The sequence below is a fragment of the Homo sapiens genome, chromosome 11, assembly GCF_000001405.40.
Source record: "Homo sapiens chromosome 11, GRCh38.p14 Primary Assembly".
Lineage (NCBI taxonomy): Eukaryota > Metazoa > Chordata > Mammalia > Primates > Hominidae > Homo > Homo sapiens.
The window spans coordinates 27,508,709-27,524,154 of record NC_000011.10 but is presented as its reverse complement, the minus strand read 5'-3'; the positions used below and the strand labels follow the sequence as shown (position 1 = coordinate 27,524,154).

Sequence of the window (15,446 nt, the reverse complement as noted above, 5' to 3'; positions counted from 1 at the left end):
CTTGGGAGGCTGGGCAGAAGAATCGCTTGAACCCAGGAGGCAGAGGTTGCAGTGAGCCGAGATCGTGCCATTGCACTCCAGCCTGGGCAACAAAAGTGAAACTCCATCTCAAAAAAAAAAAAAAAAAAAGAGTAGTCATGTCATTTCCCTCCCCAACACTTTCCATTTGGGCTGGGCACAGTGGCTCATGCCTGTAAATCCCAGCACTTTGGGAAGCTGAGATGGGAGGATCACATGAGGCCAGGAGTTTGAGACCAGCCTGGTCAACATAGTAAGACCCTATCTGTATATATATTTTTAAATTTAAAACTTTGTATATAAAAAACCTTTCCATTGGCTATCTCACTCAGTAAAAGCCAATGTCCAGCATATAGGTCTGTGCTATCTAATATAGTAGCCACTAGCCACATGCAGCTACTGAGCACTTAAAACGTGGCTAGTTCAAATTGAGATGTGCTATAAATGCCAATGCACACTGAAATTCAAATAATATTTTTAAAAAATGAAAAACATCTCATTACTCATTTTACATTGATTACATGTTGAAATGTTAATTTTTTAATATGTTGGGCTGAATAAAATATGTTACCAAATTAATCTAACCTGTTTCCTTTTCATTTTTTAATGTGGCCATTAGAAAATTCAAAATTATATCTGTGACTCACCTATCTACAATGTGGCTTGCATTATATTTGTATGGGATAGCACTGATAGTATATAGTTATTAGATAGTATGTAGTTATTAGACCAAATGAGGTCATCTAGTGAGTGAGTGTAGACAAAGAACAGGTCTAAGGATAGAATTCTCAGGGTCCTCCAAAATTAAGAAGCCAAGTAAGAGAAACCATTAGAAAGATTGAGAAAGTACCCAATAAGGTCAGCGAAGATTTTGATAGAAGACTCAGACATCTCTATTTGAGATGGCCACACTGTAAGTGCTCAGACTTGAAAGGATGATATCCAAGAAATCAAATGAAGAAAATGTATCAAGGAGGCAGTGATCAATTGTTTCGAGTGAGATAAGGACTGAAAACTGACAATTCGCTTTGACAACGTGGAAGTCACTGGAGATGCTGACGGGGTTGTTTTGGTGGAGTGGTGTAGATAAAAGTCTACTTAGAGTTATTGAAGAGAGAGTAAGAGAGCAGAAATGGATACTACAAGTATGAACAATACTTTGAAGAAGTTTTGTTATAAAGAAGATAAGAAAAATGCAAAGGTAGCTGCAGGGAAGCTTGAGATCAAGGGAAAGTATTTTAATATAGAAATAAAGCATATTTATATACTGATGGACATAAATTGATCAGGAGGAAGAAGAGAGAGCCTTGGCTGGGCGTCATCACGTATGCCTGTAATCCCAGCATTTTGGGAGGCCGAGGCACGTGGATCATTTGAGGTCAGGAGTTTGAGACCAGCCTGGCCAACATGGTGAAACCCCGTCTCTACTAAAAATACAAAAATTAGCCAGGAGTGGTGGTGCACACCTGTAATCTCAGCTACTCGGGAGGCTAAGGCAGGAAAACCTCTTGAACCCGGGAGGTGGAGGTTGCAGTGAGCCACGATCATGCCACTGCACTCCAGCCTGGGTGACAGAGCAAGATTCCATCTAAAATAAATAAATAAATAAATAAAAATTAAAAAAATTAAAAAAAAAAACAAACAGGAAGAGAGAGCCTCTCCAAAATGGCTAGAGTAAAATTGCTAGAGTGATCTCCTTGAGTAGATGTGAGATCCTGGGACCTAGTGTAGAACAGGAGGGCTGTGCCTTGGACAGACCCATGGACAGTTCCTCAGAGGACAGAATGGATGAGGGGACACAGGCGAAGATGCAAGCAGGTTTGGAAGAAGTGATGGGAACCACATGTGGAAGGTCTCCTCTGATTGTTTCCATTTTCGCCGTGTAAAAGAAATCAAGGCCATCAGCTGAGAATAAAGAACCAAGAAGTCGCAAAAGTTTGAGGAGAGAGCAGAAGGTTTGAGATCATGTTTGTGAAGCAAGAGTTCACAAACTCTTTGAATGAATTAGAATTGCTGGGCCCACTTAAATTTGGGGGCTCATGAGTTTAAAGTGATACCAAGCAGTAGATTGGGTACTTTCCTCCAGCCAAGTTCAGCAACCAGAAAACAGGTACAGAGTAAGAAAAGGGCTGCAAATAACTAGGATTGGGGGTTTTCCAAAGAAGGAAAAAAAACATGAAAGAGGCTCCAGGGAGTTACAGTTGTATAAAGTGAGTGATGATTATGATAGACTATAAGATCTAGGATGGATAAGGAGGTAAGGATACACAGGATGTAAAGGACAGTGAAAAGATGGTAGGACAAATTCATTGTTAGGTCAACGGATTTTTAAGTCAGAATGTGAGGGACAGTGAGCTGGAAAGATATGAGGTGGTGGGCCTAGGGTAGAATGCTTGAGATTGAGATTTTGATCTATGGCTATACCACCCTGAACATGCTTGATCTTGTCTGAGCTCAGAAGCTAAGCATGGTCGGACCTGGTTAGTTCTTGGATGGGAGATGGAGATTATGGAAGATGAGGAGTTATTGATAAGGACAAAGTTGAGGGGAGGCTATGAATGGCTCATTCCATGAGCATGAGTGGCTGAGGTTGGAAGAGAATGAAATCATTATAGGAGAAGAGGTCAAGGGACTCAGATGCCAGAGAGTATTGAAATGATCATCTAGGAATTGTGACAGAAAAATTGTTGTCACAAACAAGTGCGGATAAGCTGGGAGTTTACATCTTCAAAGAACGTGGAAAGTAACCCAGTCAGCAGATAACTGCAATAAGAAAGGGTAGCTGGTAATGATGTCTAAATTTCACACCAAGGGAGAAGAGAACTTGGTCTAATAGGAGCAATAAAAACCAGGGAGACATCTCCCCATCTCTAAGTCCGGAATTCTATTCAAATTCACATTCCAAATATAGGCTATATGTTTCTGGTCTCACAAGAGTCATACTCTATCCTAAAGGAACCTGGAATAATTACAGGCTTCCTGCCTTAACTCAAAGGGGTGTGGAAAAGAAAATAAGCACCACTCAACCAGGCTACAAGAAAGCAGGACTCAGAGGTCCAGGTTTCAGTTAAAAAAATAATGTGTAGGAGACACTAAGAGAAAAGGTTGAGAATATGAGGGCTTTAGCCGATAATGGGCCACAGAGCACAGAAAAGGGGTGGAAGTGGGAAATGGGCAATGGGGTCAGAATAGGGAATAAACAAACAGGATGTAGATCTAGACTATTAGGAATGACCTTATAGTTTGGTATATGGGATGAAGGGAGTGGCGAGATTGTCCTGGATTGTCTCTTAGGCAGATTGTGGTGGAGAGGCTGTCAGTGTTGGGGGACGAGGGATGAGGGTCATGCCAGAACCTTGCCAGGGTTCTGGGGCCCTTTGAAACTTTGGTGTCATCTTTACGACTTCCTCAGATCCAGGATGAATGGCTCCCTCATTAAACTTGCCCCCTAGCAGAGTTGAAAACCCCTAACCTAAGCCAGCTTATACTTTCATAAAGAATTTTACTAAATCCTGAAGGAAAACATAAGATGAAATAACAAACAGAAAAGACAAAATATCCACATTCCAAATATGGGTTTCTGATGCCAGAAGAGTCTTGCCCTATCTCAAAATGAGCTAGTGTGACTATATACTTCATGGTTTAACTCAAAAGGAAATACTTATTAATTGTTGAGACAGAGGCATTGCATAATACCAGTGTGGGGAAGATGTTTTGAAAAGGCATCTTTAAACCATTCCCAGGCATTTACCCATATGCGCAGCTGTTCCTGTATAGGACTTTCTTCACATTAACAACAACAATAAAAACACATAAAAATCAGCCCAAGAGTAAATGTTTCCTAATGGTTAGAAAAATAACATTTTACCTGATACTGCGAATGAGAGATTTTCAGGTCACGTTTATTGAGAACTAGCAAGATGAGTCAGTAGCTAAGATCTGTGGAAATGCCCTTAATGACTTTTACAATTGTTTCCTTAATAATGGACTCTTAATAAGCAGGTCAATGTTAAATTAATTACATGGAAGTATTCTAAAAAGCATATTGAAACCTGATTTTAGCCCATTCACTCAAGGATTAAAGTTGTACTTTGGGTTTTTTTTTTTTTCTCTTCCTGATAGAATATCATCTATTGGAAGGAAATGTTTAAGCTTGGGGATGAAGTTTAAAATATAAAATTAATAAAGAGAAGAAAATGTAGTTCTAACAGCAACCAGGCAAAGGCTATGTAGGCCCAGAGCCACAATCTTTCTGCCACTCACTGATTTTATTACCCATGGTTCATTCAGCAAATGATCAAGGAGCTTCGGTAATATGCTTTGCTACCTGCTGGAGAGTCAGTGATGATTACAATGCCATTCTTAGCCGTGAAGGGGCTCACTCTCTGGTTGGGGAAAATAAACACTTTAGCAAACACAATACAATATTGATATTTTGTATACAGGGCAGAGCAGAGAATGGAACATTTGAAGTGGGTCTTGAAGGATGAGCAGAAGTTTGTTAGAAAAGGAAAGCGTGCCAAGCAGAAAGAAGAGCATGTAAGTATGATGCAGACTGGCGTACTGGAGAAGCATGAGCAGTTCTGTGGGACAGGACTACAGGATCTGAAAGGAAGAAGTAGGAGAAGAAACTGCCCATTATAGAAGCATCCAAATTATTACTTCTATGCTACCATTGCACCATTGTCACCAACCTCCTCTCCCAATCTTCACAATCAACCCAAATATAGTCATTTTGCACAAGAAATCCAAGCACAAGCATATTATAATTTTTGTAAAGATTACCAAAGCTCTGGAAGCCATGAAGAAGGGTCTCACAGCACAAACATCAGCATTGCACCACTCTCTCATTCCCTTGGCCTTCCTCACCCCTCACTGCCCATCCAACCCAGGCCCAAATATGCAGAATTTCTCCCTTCTCTGCAGTTTTGCTATTTTCCAACAACCAGAGGTTAATAAACATCAGACAACACCCAAAATAAGGGTGACTCCCTTAAAGGAATTTTCTTACAATCTGCTATGAGAATCAAAGCTTTTCCCTCTGATTTTATTTCTAAAACACACTTTTAATCCTATTGCTTCCATTTTTTAAATCCTTCAATAGCTCACTCTGGCCAAAAGAATAAAATCCAAACTTTAGCAGCTTGCACTCAGCCTCAATCTAAATGCTAAGCCCCCTTTCCTTTTACAGCTTCCTCAGGTTCCGTTGTGTAACCTATACCCCACTGAAGCCCTCCCTCCTACTTCCTGAACAGGGCCTATATTTTTTTTCCAATGGGGCTTTGCTCATTTAGTACTCTCTCTGGGATTCTTGTCCCCATTCATCCACTTGTGAAAATTCTGATCCTTCTTGTACAACGTATCCATCTTATTCAAGCAGGGTTTCTCAACCTAGGTACTACTGACATTTTATGCTGAGTAAGTCTTTGTTGTAGGGAGTTGTCTTATGCATTGAAAAATGCTTAGCAGCATCTCTGACCTCTACTCACTACGTGCCAGTACCAACCCTCACCCTGACTATCCATCTATCCATTGTCATAACCATTAAAAATATCTCCAAATATTGCCAAATGTCCTATGGGTTTGAAAATTGCCCCTGGTTGAGAATCACTGCTCTCTAATCTGTTTTCTGGTTACCTCCAGTGAGAAATCATTTCTCCCCACTCATTACTCCACAACACTTTGCAACTCTGTTAAAAACCCCTATAACTAAAGCAACAACAAGACCAACAATAAGCAGCAACAACTAAAGCAACAAGAGCAGAATAATATTTAATGCCATCTCCTTTGTTTCTGTTGGTTGCTTATATGTCTGACCCTTTCCACTGGGTTTGTGAGCTGTTGAGAGAAGGGTGAAGTCCTGGTGCCTCTAGACCCCAGCACAGTGTCTTACCATAGTAGGTCATAATTTGAATTGACTTTAATAAAGCTATTGTCTTCATCTATTTGTCTTCTGACTAGCCATTTGATGGCCACATCAGTTGGAAGATCGAGAAGCTAAAGATTATTGAAATGCTCTTTTGCAAGGTTTTGTTCATATCTGGGAAGTTATAAGAAACACTAAGAACAGGGAATGGTGGTTCATGCCTGTAATCCTAGCATTTTGGGAGGCTGAGGCAGGCAAATCACTTGAGATCAGGAGCTTGAGACCAGCCTAGCCAACAAGGTGATATCCCGTCTCTACTAAAAATAAAAAATAAATTACCCTGGCATGGTCACAGGTGCCTGTAATCCTAGCTACTCGGGAGGCTGAGGCAGGAGAATCAAGGCAGAGGTTGCAGTGAGCCAAGATTGGACCACTGCACTTCAGCCTGGGCGAGAAAGGAAGAAAGGAAGAAAGAAAGAAGGAAAGAAGGAAGGAAGGAAGAAGGAAAGAAAGAGAAGGAAAGAAGGAAGGAAGGAAGAAGGAAAGAAAGAGAAGGAAAGAAGGAAGGAAGAAGGAAAGAAAGAGAATGAAAGAAGGAAAGAGAAAAAGAAAGAAAGAAAGGAAGGAAGGAAGGAAAGAAAGAAAAGAAAGAAAGAAAGAAAGAAGGAAAGAAAGAAAGAAAGAAAGAGAGAGACAGACAGGAAAGGAAGGAAGGGGAAACATGGATCTGGAGGATCTGGAGAGGGTTTTTTTGTTTGCTTGTTTGTTTAATCTTCACACTACTGAATGGTTTGTAGTTGAGTAAATACTAGCTTTCAGAATCAGTTTGGGTTAAAACAGTAATGTGGCTTATTTCAATTTAGTTTGAGTCAGTTTGCAGACAATGGGTTTTTAGGTTTAAAATATAAAGTAGTGGTCCAAACCATAAAACATAGCATTGCAGTACATACAGGTAGATAACATTCCTACTGTCTCATTGGTGTAGTTTCCGTTTGCTGAAATTGCCTGAAAGTTCCTCAAGGACATGAACACATCTGACATTTCTCCTCTCTCCTGTAGCACCTGCTAGTAAACGTTTTTGAGTTAAGTTGAAAACTTTCCAATGAAGGGAAATAAATCTATTGACCGGGAATGCTGCAGGAACTAGGTTTAAAGGTAATTTCCAGAAGTTGTGGTGTAGTATGGCAAAGCTTGCTGAAGGCTTATCCCCATATTTATTTTACCTTTCTTCCTTGGGGACAGAGTTGAGATTTTGTAGCTGGGCTCTTTGTCACTCAAAATAAAAGATTTTACTTCCTAGTTCTTTTGCAGTAAGATGGAGACATGTAACTGAGTCTGGCTAAGAAGATATAGGTCAAAATATTATGTTGGACATCTGAAAAGGGTGCTTTAAAGATGCTTATTCAACTGGAAAGGGTGATTTTTACCCTTCTGCAATTCCTTATTCTTTTTTTCTGGCATGCAACTCACATGTAATGACTGAAATTCCTGCAGCCATCTCAGATTATGAGTGAACTTGACTATGGAAGCCATGTCCTAGGATGGTGATGCAAAATGAAAAAAGCTGGGATCCTGGTGATACCATGGGGCTGTCATACTTGCACCAAGTTACCTATCTATGGATTTCTTTCATTCACTTTAAATGCACTATTATTTTGGACTTTTGTGAGTTTTTTTTTTTTTTTCAAAATAGTTTTTTGTTTGTTTTCCAAAACAGGGTCTTGCTCTGCCACCGAAGCTGGAGTGTAGTGGTACACTACAACCTTGAACTTCTGGGCCTGAGCAATCTTCCCGCCCCAGCCTCCTAAGTAGTTAGGACTACAAGCACACACTATTATGACTAGCTAATTTTTTTTATTTTTTATTTTTGTAGAGACAGGGTCTTGCTATGTTGCCCAAGCTGATCTCAAACTCCTGGCCTCAAGTGATCCTCCTGCCTTAGCCTCCCAGAATACTGGGAATAGCTGGGCGCGGTGGCTCACACCTGTAATCCCAGCACTCTGGAAGGTCAAGGTGGGTGGGTCACTTGAGGTCAGGAGTTCGAGACCAGCCTGGTCAACATGATGAAATCCAATCTCTACTAAAAACACAAAAAATTAGCTGAGCGTCGTGGCAGGCGCCTGTAATGCCAGCTAATGGGGAGGCTGAGGCAGGAGAATTGCTTGAACCCGGGAGGCGGAGGTTGCAGTGAGCTGAGATCATGCCAAAGTTGGGATTATAGGCATGAGCCAACATGCCCAGCCTGGATTTTTGTGTTTATATGCAGCTATACCTAATTCTAATTGATGCATATTTAATTGTAATTCCACAATTTTTATGCCTTCCATGTGGTAGATCAATGGTTCTCAACAAAAAGTACATGTCACTCACAAAAACCTTTATATTTTCAGAAAATACAAATGTTCATGCCATACTCGAGTTTTTGAATCAAAATTTACATGGTGACCCTCTGACGTGAATTGTGTGACAAATATATTTTTCAACAAATTAGATAAGTTACATGACATACATTCAGTTATATATAGTATATACTGCGTGTGTGGCAAGAGAGAGAGATTTTTATAGTATTTCCTAATATTCTTTTTTATTCTTGTAAGGTTAGTAGAAATGTCCCGTTTCATTCCTGATTTTAGTAATTCCTCTTTTTTTCCTGGTCAGTCTAGTTAAAGCATTGTCAATTTTGTTGATCTTTTCAAGGAACCAGATTTTGGTTTCATCATCTTTCTCAATTGTTTTTATTTATATTCTATGTTTTCCTATTCTGTATCGTTATTTTATTCTAGTTCTGCCCTAACTTTTGTTGTTTCCTTTCTGCTACTTAGTTTGAGTTTAGTTTGTTTTGCTTTAAGTGTCTTAAGATAGAAGTTTAGGTTGTTAATTTGATATTTTTCTTTTTTTTAATATAGGCACTTATAGCTATAAATTTCCCTCTAAGCACTGCTGTAGCTGCATCAAGAATATATTTTTAAAGCCCTACAGAGAATTCTGATGTGCATGCTTGGTGAGAGTATACTGTACTTCTTTGCCACTATAAGGTTTTTGTTTTTTTCAATTTCCCAGCATGACTGCTGATCTTCTTCATAGACAAAGGTTTTTTTTATAAAGCAAAATACTTTGGCTTTGGTTTGGTTAGATATTGCAGAAAGACTCTTGATTGCAGCTCAGAAATTTCTTTCATAGCCTAATATAAAAATCAAGGACATGTTTGCTTTACTTGATTTTCTCTAAGAAGTGAAGACTTCTTGGATTACAGGGGCCCTACTTTAAGGGCCCTTTCAGTTGGAAGTTTTCCTTTCTGCCTGTATTTTTACTATGCATATTTTTGGCAGCCCAAAAGCAATGTTTATGTCCATTCATCTGATAGTGAAAGCTTACTGTGCTACCTAAGTCCTTTCTCTTGGTCTGTGTACTTTCCTATTTGCCTTGCTTTTTCCACAATTTGGCAGCATTATCACTTACTCCACGTGACAAGTGACATCATTGCTATAATGAGAATTCCAAGCAGCACCACTGGATCAAAGCCCATCTGTGTGCCTGCTCCCACACTTGACAAAACAAATTCCAAATTCATTCAGCATGCCGGTGCCATTTAGTCACTGTGACATATCCTAAATTTTGGACTCTGTGCAAAAACCAATCTGTGCCCACAAAATTAATCACGGAACACATTTTATGACGTTTGACAACAACTTAAAAGGTTCTCATCTCTGGCAGTTGGCTCTGCCAATCTGCAAGTATGTGCACGACAAATCCTGAACAATACATTGTGTGGCTGAAAATACATTGTGCAGGATGCACAACCTGAAGAGGGCCAGAGTTGAGTCCAACCAATCCTGAAGTCTTTCTCAGGGACAACTAAGCCAGACTGCTGCTTTGTGAAGGAAGGATGATGGCCCCAGGTACATGCAGAAAGCCAAAGAAAAGGCAACAGTTCATGTGCCAGTAGATGCTGAGAACCTTGGCACAATCGGCTGTGTTGGCAGGACCAAGAGTTTGCAATCGCTAATTTAAGCAACAAGATCCTGGCAAACCGATTTATATAGGGCAAGGGTGCGTCAGGAAGATGCCAGAAAAATACATCAATCTGTGCCTTTACATGTACTACAGAGTGATGATGAAACAAGTGACATTAAAAAAGTCAACCCTTACACTTTAATAGAATCTGCAACTCATCCTACAAGGAAAAGTAGGGTTTATGTTAGATCTCTGGAACTCACAGATGGGTTTCTATGTTCTGATCTGAGATCTGTGATAAAATTTCCCTTCAAAGGTGCTCTTGAAGAGATTTTTCCATACTGTTATGATTACTTAATTAGGCCAAGTGTTTTTATATATTGTTTAAATTATTTTAAAATGCAGACTCTTTAACATTTGACAATATCATTCACTTCAAATAAAATAATCTATTCAAAATTTTACTTTGCTGAGTACATCAGAGAAATTCTGTTAAAAAAAGAAGATTGAGACTTTAATTGTACAGTTAGAAGCCTTTACTTGAGAGTAATGTTCTACCCTGCAATGGCATAACTGTTTCAAATAGCTATTTTATGTAGTAGTGCCTATTTGTGTACAGTTCAACAGGCAATGAAATAGTAAAACACTCCACTTGGAGCATGTTGCTTCTCCATATTACTTTCCATTTTCCTAGCTTCCCTTTAGACAGCCTTCTACTCCCACTGTTCCCCACCCACTCCTTTTTTCACTTAGTACGTTGTATTTGCAATGTCTCGGGTTAAGAAAGCTTTTGTACCTTGGCAGCCTACTTAGGGTTTTCATTTGTTATACAAAGACTAAATTTCCATAATTTAGCTTTCACTGGGATTTGTCTAGACCCAAACATCCTATTCTAATTTTACAGTTCCTCTACATCTCTGAGGCAGGAAATAATATGAGGAAGCAACAGGTGAAGAGGAGTTCTTCCACACGAAGAGCAATTCTTGATTAGGAGGCCTGGTGATTTAATAACCTGGCAGAGGCATAGAAGGAAAACCAGCTTCCCTTGGTTCATGCTCCTAATGGCCTCCTTTGAATGTAGGACAGCAATCCATCTTCTCTTCTTTAATATGAGGGAGTTGACTCTCTAGATCTTTCCCGACGCTAATACTCTTGAATTTCGATTAACGAGGAACATTTCGGGGTTCTCTCCTTACACAATAGTTGATTCTTTTGTTTATTTTGTATGTTAAGTACAAGCTGGCTGTTGGTTAATTTCAGGCATATTTTTCCCTCTCAGAAGTAGTTTCCAAAACTTTTTTCTTCCTTATCTATGCCTAAAATAATATAAAATAAATTTTAAAATTAGCTAGAAATGCTGCCCTTTATGCAAGAGCTACATATTCTTTTATAATGAAAATCATTTTCTCAATAATTTTTCTCTGCAGTTTTATAGGGAAACTGAATTTTAGTAGAAAAAGGCCCTAGAAATAATCTTTTAAATCCTGAACACAGGTCCCTGTGTCAGGCTAGCTGTGTCAGAATCACTAGGGATTTTTTAAAATATAGATTCCCAGAGCCTTCTCCTAAGGATTCTGATTTGATAAGTCCATGAAGTTCAAGGGAATCTGTATTTATATTAATTACTTTATTGACATAGAGTAAAGTAATTTTTAATGTGCTGACAGATTTTTTTTAAAGATTTGGGGTGTTGCTGTGATGCTCAGGCTGAAGAAAAGTGGCTATTTACAGGCGCAATCATACAGCCTCAAACTCCCGGCCTCCATCCTCCTGCCTCAGTCTTCCAAGAACTGGGACTACATACAGGTGGATGTCACTGCAGCTGGCTCAGACAGATCTTATTCAGTGGTCGTGCCAAATAAGGAAACAGGTCCAGAGTGAGAATGTGACATTGTCAAGATCACACTATCACAAGGTGGCTCATCTATGATTAGTAACCAGAGCTCCTGACACTTAGTCCTGTGCTCTTCCCATAATGTCAGGCTGCTACTCTTATGGAATTTGCAACATTTTTCCCAAATGTATATGTAATGTACTATATTAGACAGGCCAAATACATTGCCTGCTGTACTCTAGCCTTTTCTAAGGGAAGATATTCTACCCCCAGACTTATCAGGGACCTGGGTGAACCATTACTTCCACTGTACCAGATAGAATTGATTGAACCAAGGGTGAGTATCTGATCAAGGGTAGCAAATCCATAGACTACAGCACAATGAGATTCAAATACCAAACAAAGCAGATGTACAAATCTATTAAATGAAAATTGTCTAATCATTAAACACTACTTTAAACCTAGTAAGTCTGTGCTTTTTCAGCAAATTGTGCTTATAATTAAGTTTTCTTATTCCCCTTCCCAAGAGCAAAGATTTCAAATTGAAAAGATGAGGCCAATACAAATTAAATATTTCAAAATAAAATATATCAAATATTATCTTTAGTATTGTGATTCCTATTTATTAATTTTCATTTTTATTAAAATGTCTTTAAAAATGCAAACAGCATTACAGGGTTTATACTCAAAAAAATTAAAAGTTGCTGAATATGTTGTATGCAGCTGATCCACCTTATACTCATAAACATTTCCTTTATTACATGGCTTTTCAGGTTTTTTTGGAGTTAATAATTGCTTTATTTCCTCCCGTTTGCTTAGTTTTCTATGTGCCTATCACCAATTTATTCCCAAACTCTCCACTAAAATGCATAAATGTGTTATCAGTATGCTCACCCACACTGGTGAACTACATATTTCATTTTTTTCTTGGCAACACCTCACCTCCACTTCTGCCCTGCTTCAGTGTGAATGGATTGCTCTCTTTGCCAGCTGCATGTCTGCTACCCTAGGCTTCCCTTCACAATTGTGGTGGATTAATTTTATGTGTCAATTTGACTGGGCTAAGTGATGCTCAGATAGCTGGTAAAACAATATTTCTGAGTGTGTCAGGAAGTTTCTAGAAGAGATTAGCATTTTAATCAGCAAACTGAGTAAAGATCACTCTCACTAATGTGAACAGACATCATCCAATCCACTGAGGGCCCAAATAGAGCAAAAAGACAGAGGGAGGGCATATTTGCCCTTTCTGTTTGAGCTCAGATATCTTTCTCCTGCCCTTGGACTCCAGTGTTCTCAGTTCTCAGGCCTTCGGACTCAGACTAGTACTTACACCAGAGGCTCTTCTGGTTCTCAGGCCTTGGTTCTTCATGCTTGGACTGGAACTAAAGCATCTTTTCTGGGTCTCCCACTTGAAGACAGCAAATTATGGGATTTCTTGGCTTCTGTAGTCTCCTGAGCCAATCCATCATAATAAATCCTTTCTATATATCTAAATATATTCTATTGGTTCTGTTTCTGTGAGGCACCCTGATACACTAATCATTTTGAAATCACCTTAATCTCCTCTATATTGGATCCTCTTTTTCTTGGATTACACATACCTTTACTGGCTAACTTTTTTTTTTTTTTTTTTTGAGACAGATTCTTGCACTGTTGCCCAGGCTGGAGTGCAGTGGCGCAATCTTGGCTCACTGCACCTCCCGGGTTCAAGTGATTCTCCTGCCTCAGCCTCCCGAGGGGCTGGGATTACCACCCCTGGCTAATTTTTGTATTTTTAGTAGAGATGGAGTTTCGCAATGTTGGCCAGGCTGGGTTCAAACTCCTGACCTCAAGTGATAAACATGTCTCAGCCTCCCGAAGTGCTGGGATTACAGGCATGAGCCACCAGCCCTGGCCAGCTAACTTTTTTTCTTAAAGATGGGATCTCACTCTGTCACCCAGGCTGGAGTGCAGTGGCACAATCATAGCTCACTGCAGCCTCAAACTCCTGGGCTCAAGTGATTCTCCCACCTCAGCCTTCTGAGTTGTTTGAACTACAGGTATGAGCTACTGTACTTGGCTTGGCTCACTTCCTACTATTGATGGAGCACATTTTCTAGTAGCTCTTGAGAAAGTATGTATGGAAGGTTAACAATTTTTAGAACTTACATGTGTAAAATATTTTTCATTATTCCTTCACACCTGATTGATACTCTGGTTGGTGTTACGGGGTGAACTGTATCTCTTCCCTTCAAAAAAAAAATTAAAGTTCTAACTCCCAGAACCCCAAAATGTGACTTTATATGGAAATGAGGTCACTGATGATGCAACTAATTTAGGGTAAGGTCACACCGAAATAGGAAGTTCTTGTAAGATGATTTCCAGCTGACAACAGATAACACAAGGGAAGACGCCATGTGATAATGACAACAGAGATTGAAGTAATACAGTTGCAGACCAAGGAACACCAAAGCCTGCCAGCAAACTACCAGAAAGCTAGGAAGAGACAAGGAAGGAATCCTCTACACTTTCAGAGAGCACATGACATCTTGGCTTCTGATTTCTCGCCTCCAGAAGTGTGAGACAGTGACTATCTATTGTTTTAAGTCACCCAGTTTGTTGTATCTTGTTATGGCAGCCCTAGAAACCTAATACAGTTGGATATAGAATTCTAGTTTGCAAATAATTTTTTCTAAAAATTTAGTTGCTCTCTGTGTCTTAGCTTCCAGTGCTGCTGAGGAGAAGTACAATCTTGTTCTGATTTCCAATCCTTAGAATATAATTTTTTATCCTCTCTGGAAACTTCTAGGATCTTCTATCTATTCCTAGGATTCTGAAATTTTATGATGATTACATGTGTTAAACATCCACCCGGGTGTGGCGGCTCACGCCTGTAATCCAGCACTTTGGGAAATCAAGGTGGGTGAATCACTTGAGGACAAGAGTTTGAGGCCAGCTAGCCAAACATGGTGAAATCCCATCTCTACGAAAAATACAAAAATTAGCAGGGTGCGGTGGCAGGTGCCTGTAAACCTAGCTACTCGGGTGGCTGACGCATGAGAATCACTTGAACCCAGGAGGCAGAGGCTGCAGTGAGCCGAGACTGCGTCACTGCATTCCAGCCTGGGTGACAGAGCAAGACTCCATCTGAAGAAGAAGAAGAAAGAAGAAGAAGAAGGAGAAGGAAGAAAGAAGAAGAAATAAATTACCAGACAGGGAAAGGAAAAGAGCAAAAAAAAAGTCCACAAACTCAGTTCCTAAGAATAGTTCCCGTTCCTACCAAAGTAGAAAAACCACATAATTCACTTTGGGTATGGGGTAAGGAACTTTGAAGGGTACTGTCTTAGTAGTGGGATACAATTAACCCTACATAAATGACTGAATTGGTTCCACCTAAAAAAAATCAAAACCCAAAAGAACAAAATTGTTTTTCAAGTAAGTAAATTTTACAAAGTCTAGCATCTTGTTAAAAAAAAAAAAATTTCCAGGCATGCAAGAAGCAGGAAATTATGAACTGTAATGAAGAGAAAAATCAATCAATAGAAACTATGCCAGAAATAGCATAGATCATAGAATTAGTAGACAAGGATATTAAAACTGTCATTATAATTGTAGTCTATGTGTTTAAGAAGCTGCAGAAAAGTTGAGCATGTTAAGACATAAAAGATGTAAGACACACACCCACACCCAAATCAAACTGGTAGAGGCAACAACTACAATGTTTTATATGAAGAATGAACTGGACAGGATTTCAATATTAGATATTGAAAAAAGATTAATGAATATGAAAACATA

General features: G+C 39.3%; 1 long non-coding RNA gene, 1 other non-coding gene and 1 pseudogene across 6 annotated transcripts in view; 2 read left to right on the top strand and 1 right to left on the bottom strand.

The window, feature by feature from the left end:
- The window catches only part of BDNF-AS (BDNF antisense RNA), a 191,320-nt gene that overhangs the window by 174,017 nt on the left and 1,857 nt on the right, over positions 1-15,446 (bottom strand). The gene's annotated exons all lie outside the window — the stretch shown is intronic.
- On the top strand, positions 2,429-2,550 carry RNA5SP339 (RNA, 5S ribosomal pseudogene 339; annotated as a pseudogene).
- Positions 9,108-9,185, top strand: MIR8087 (microRNA 8087). Its single transcript, NR_107054.1, has one exon. It is a non-coding gene; the product is annotated as a microRNA 8087 (primary transcript).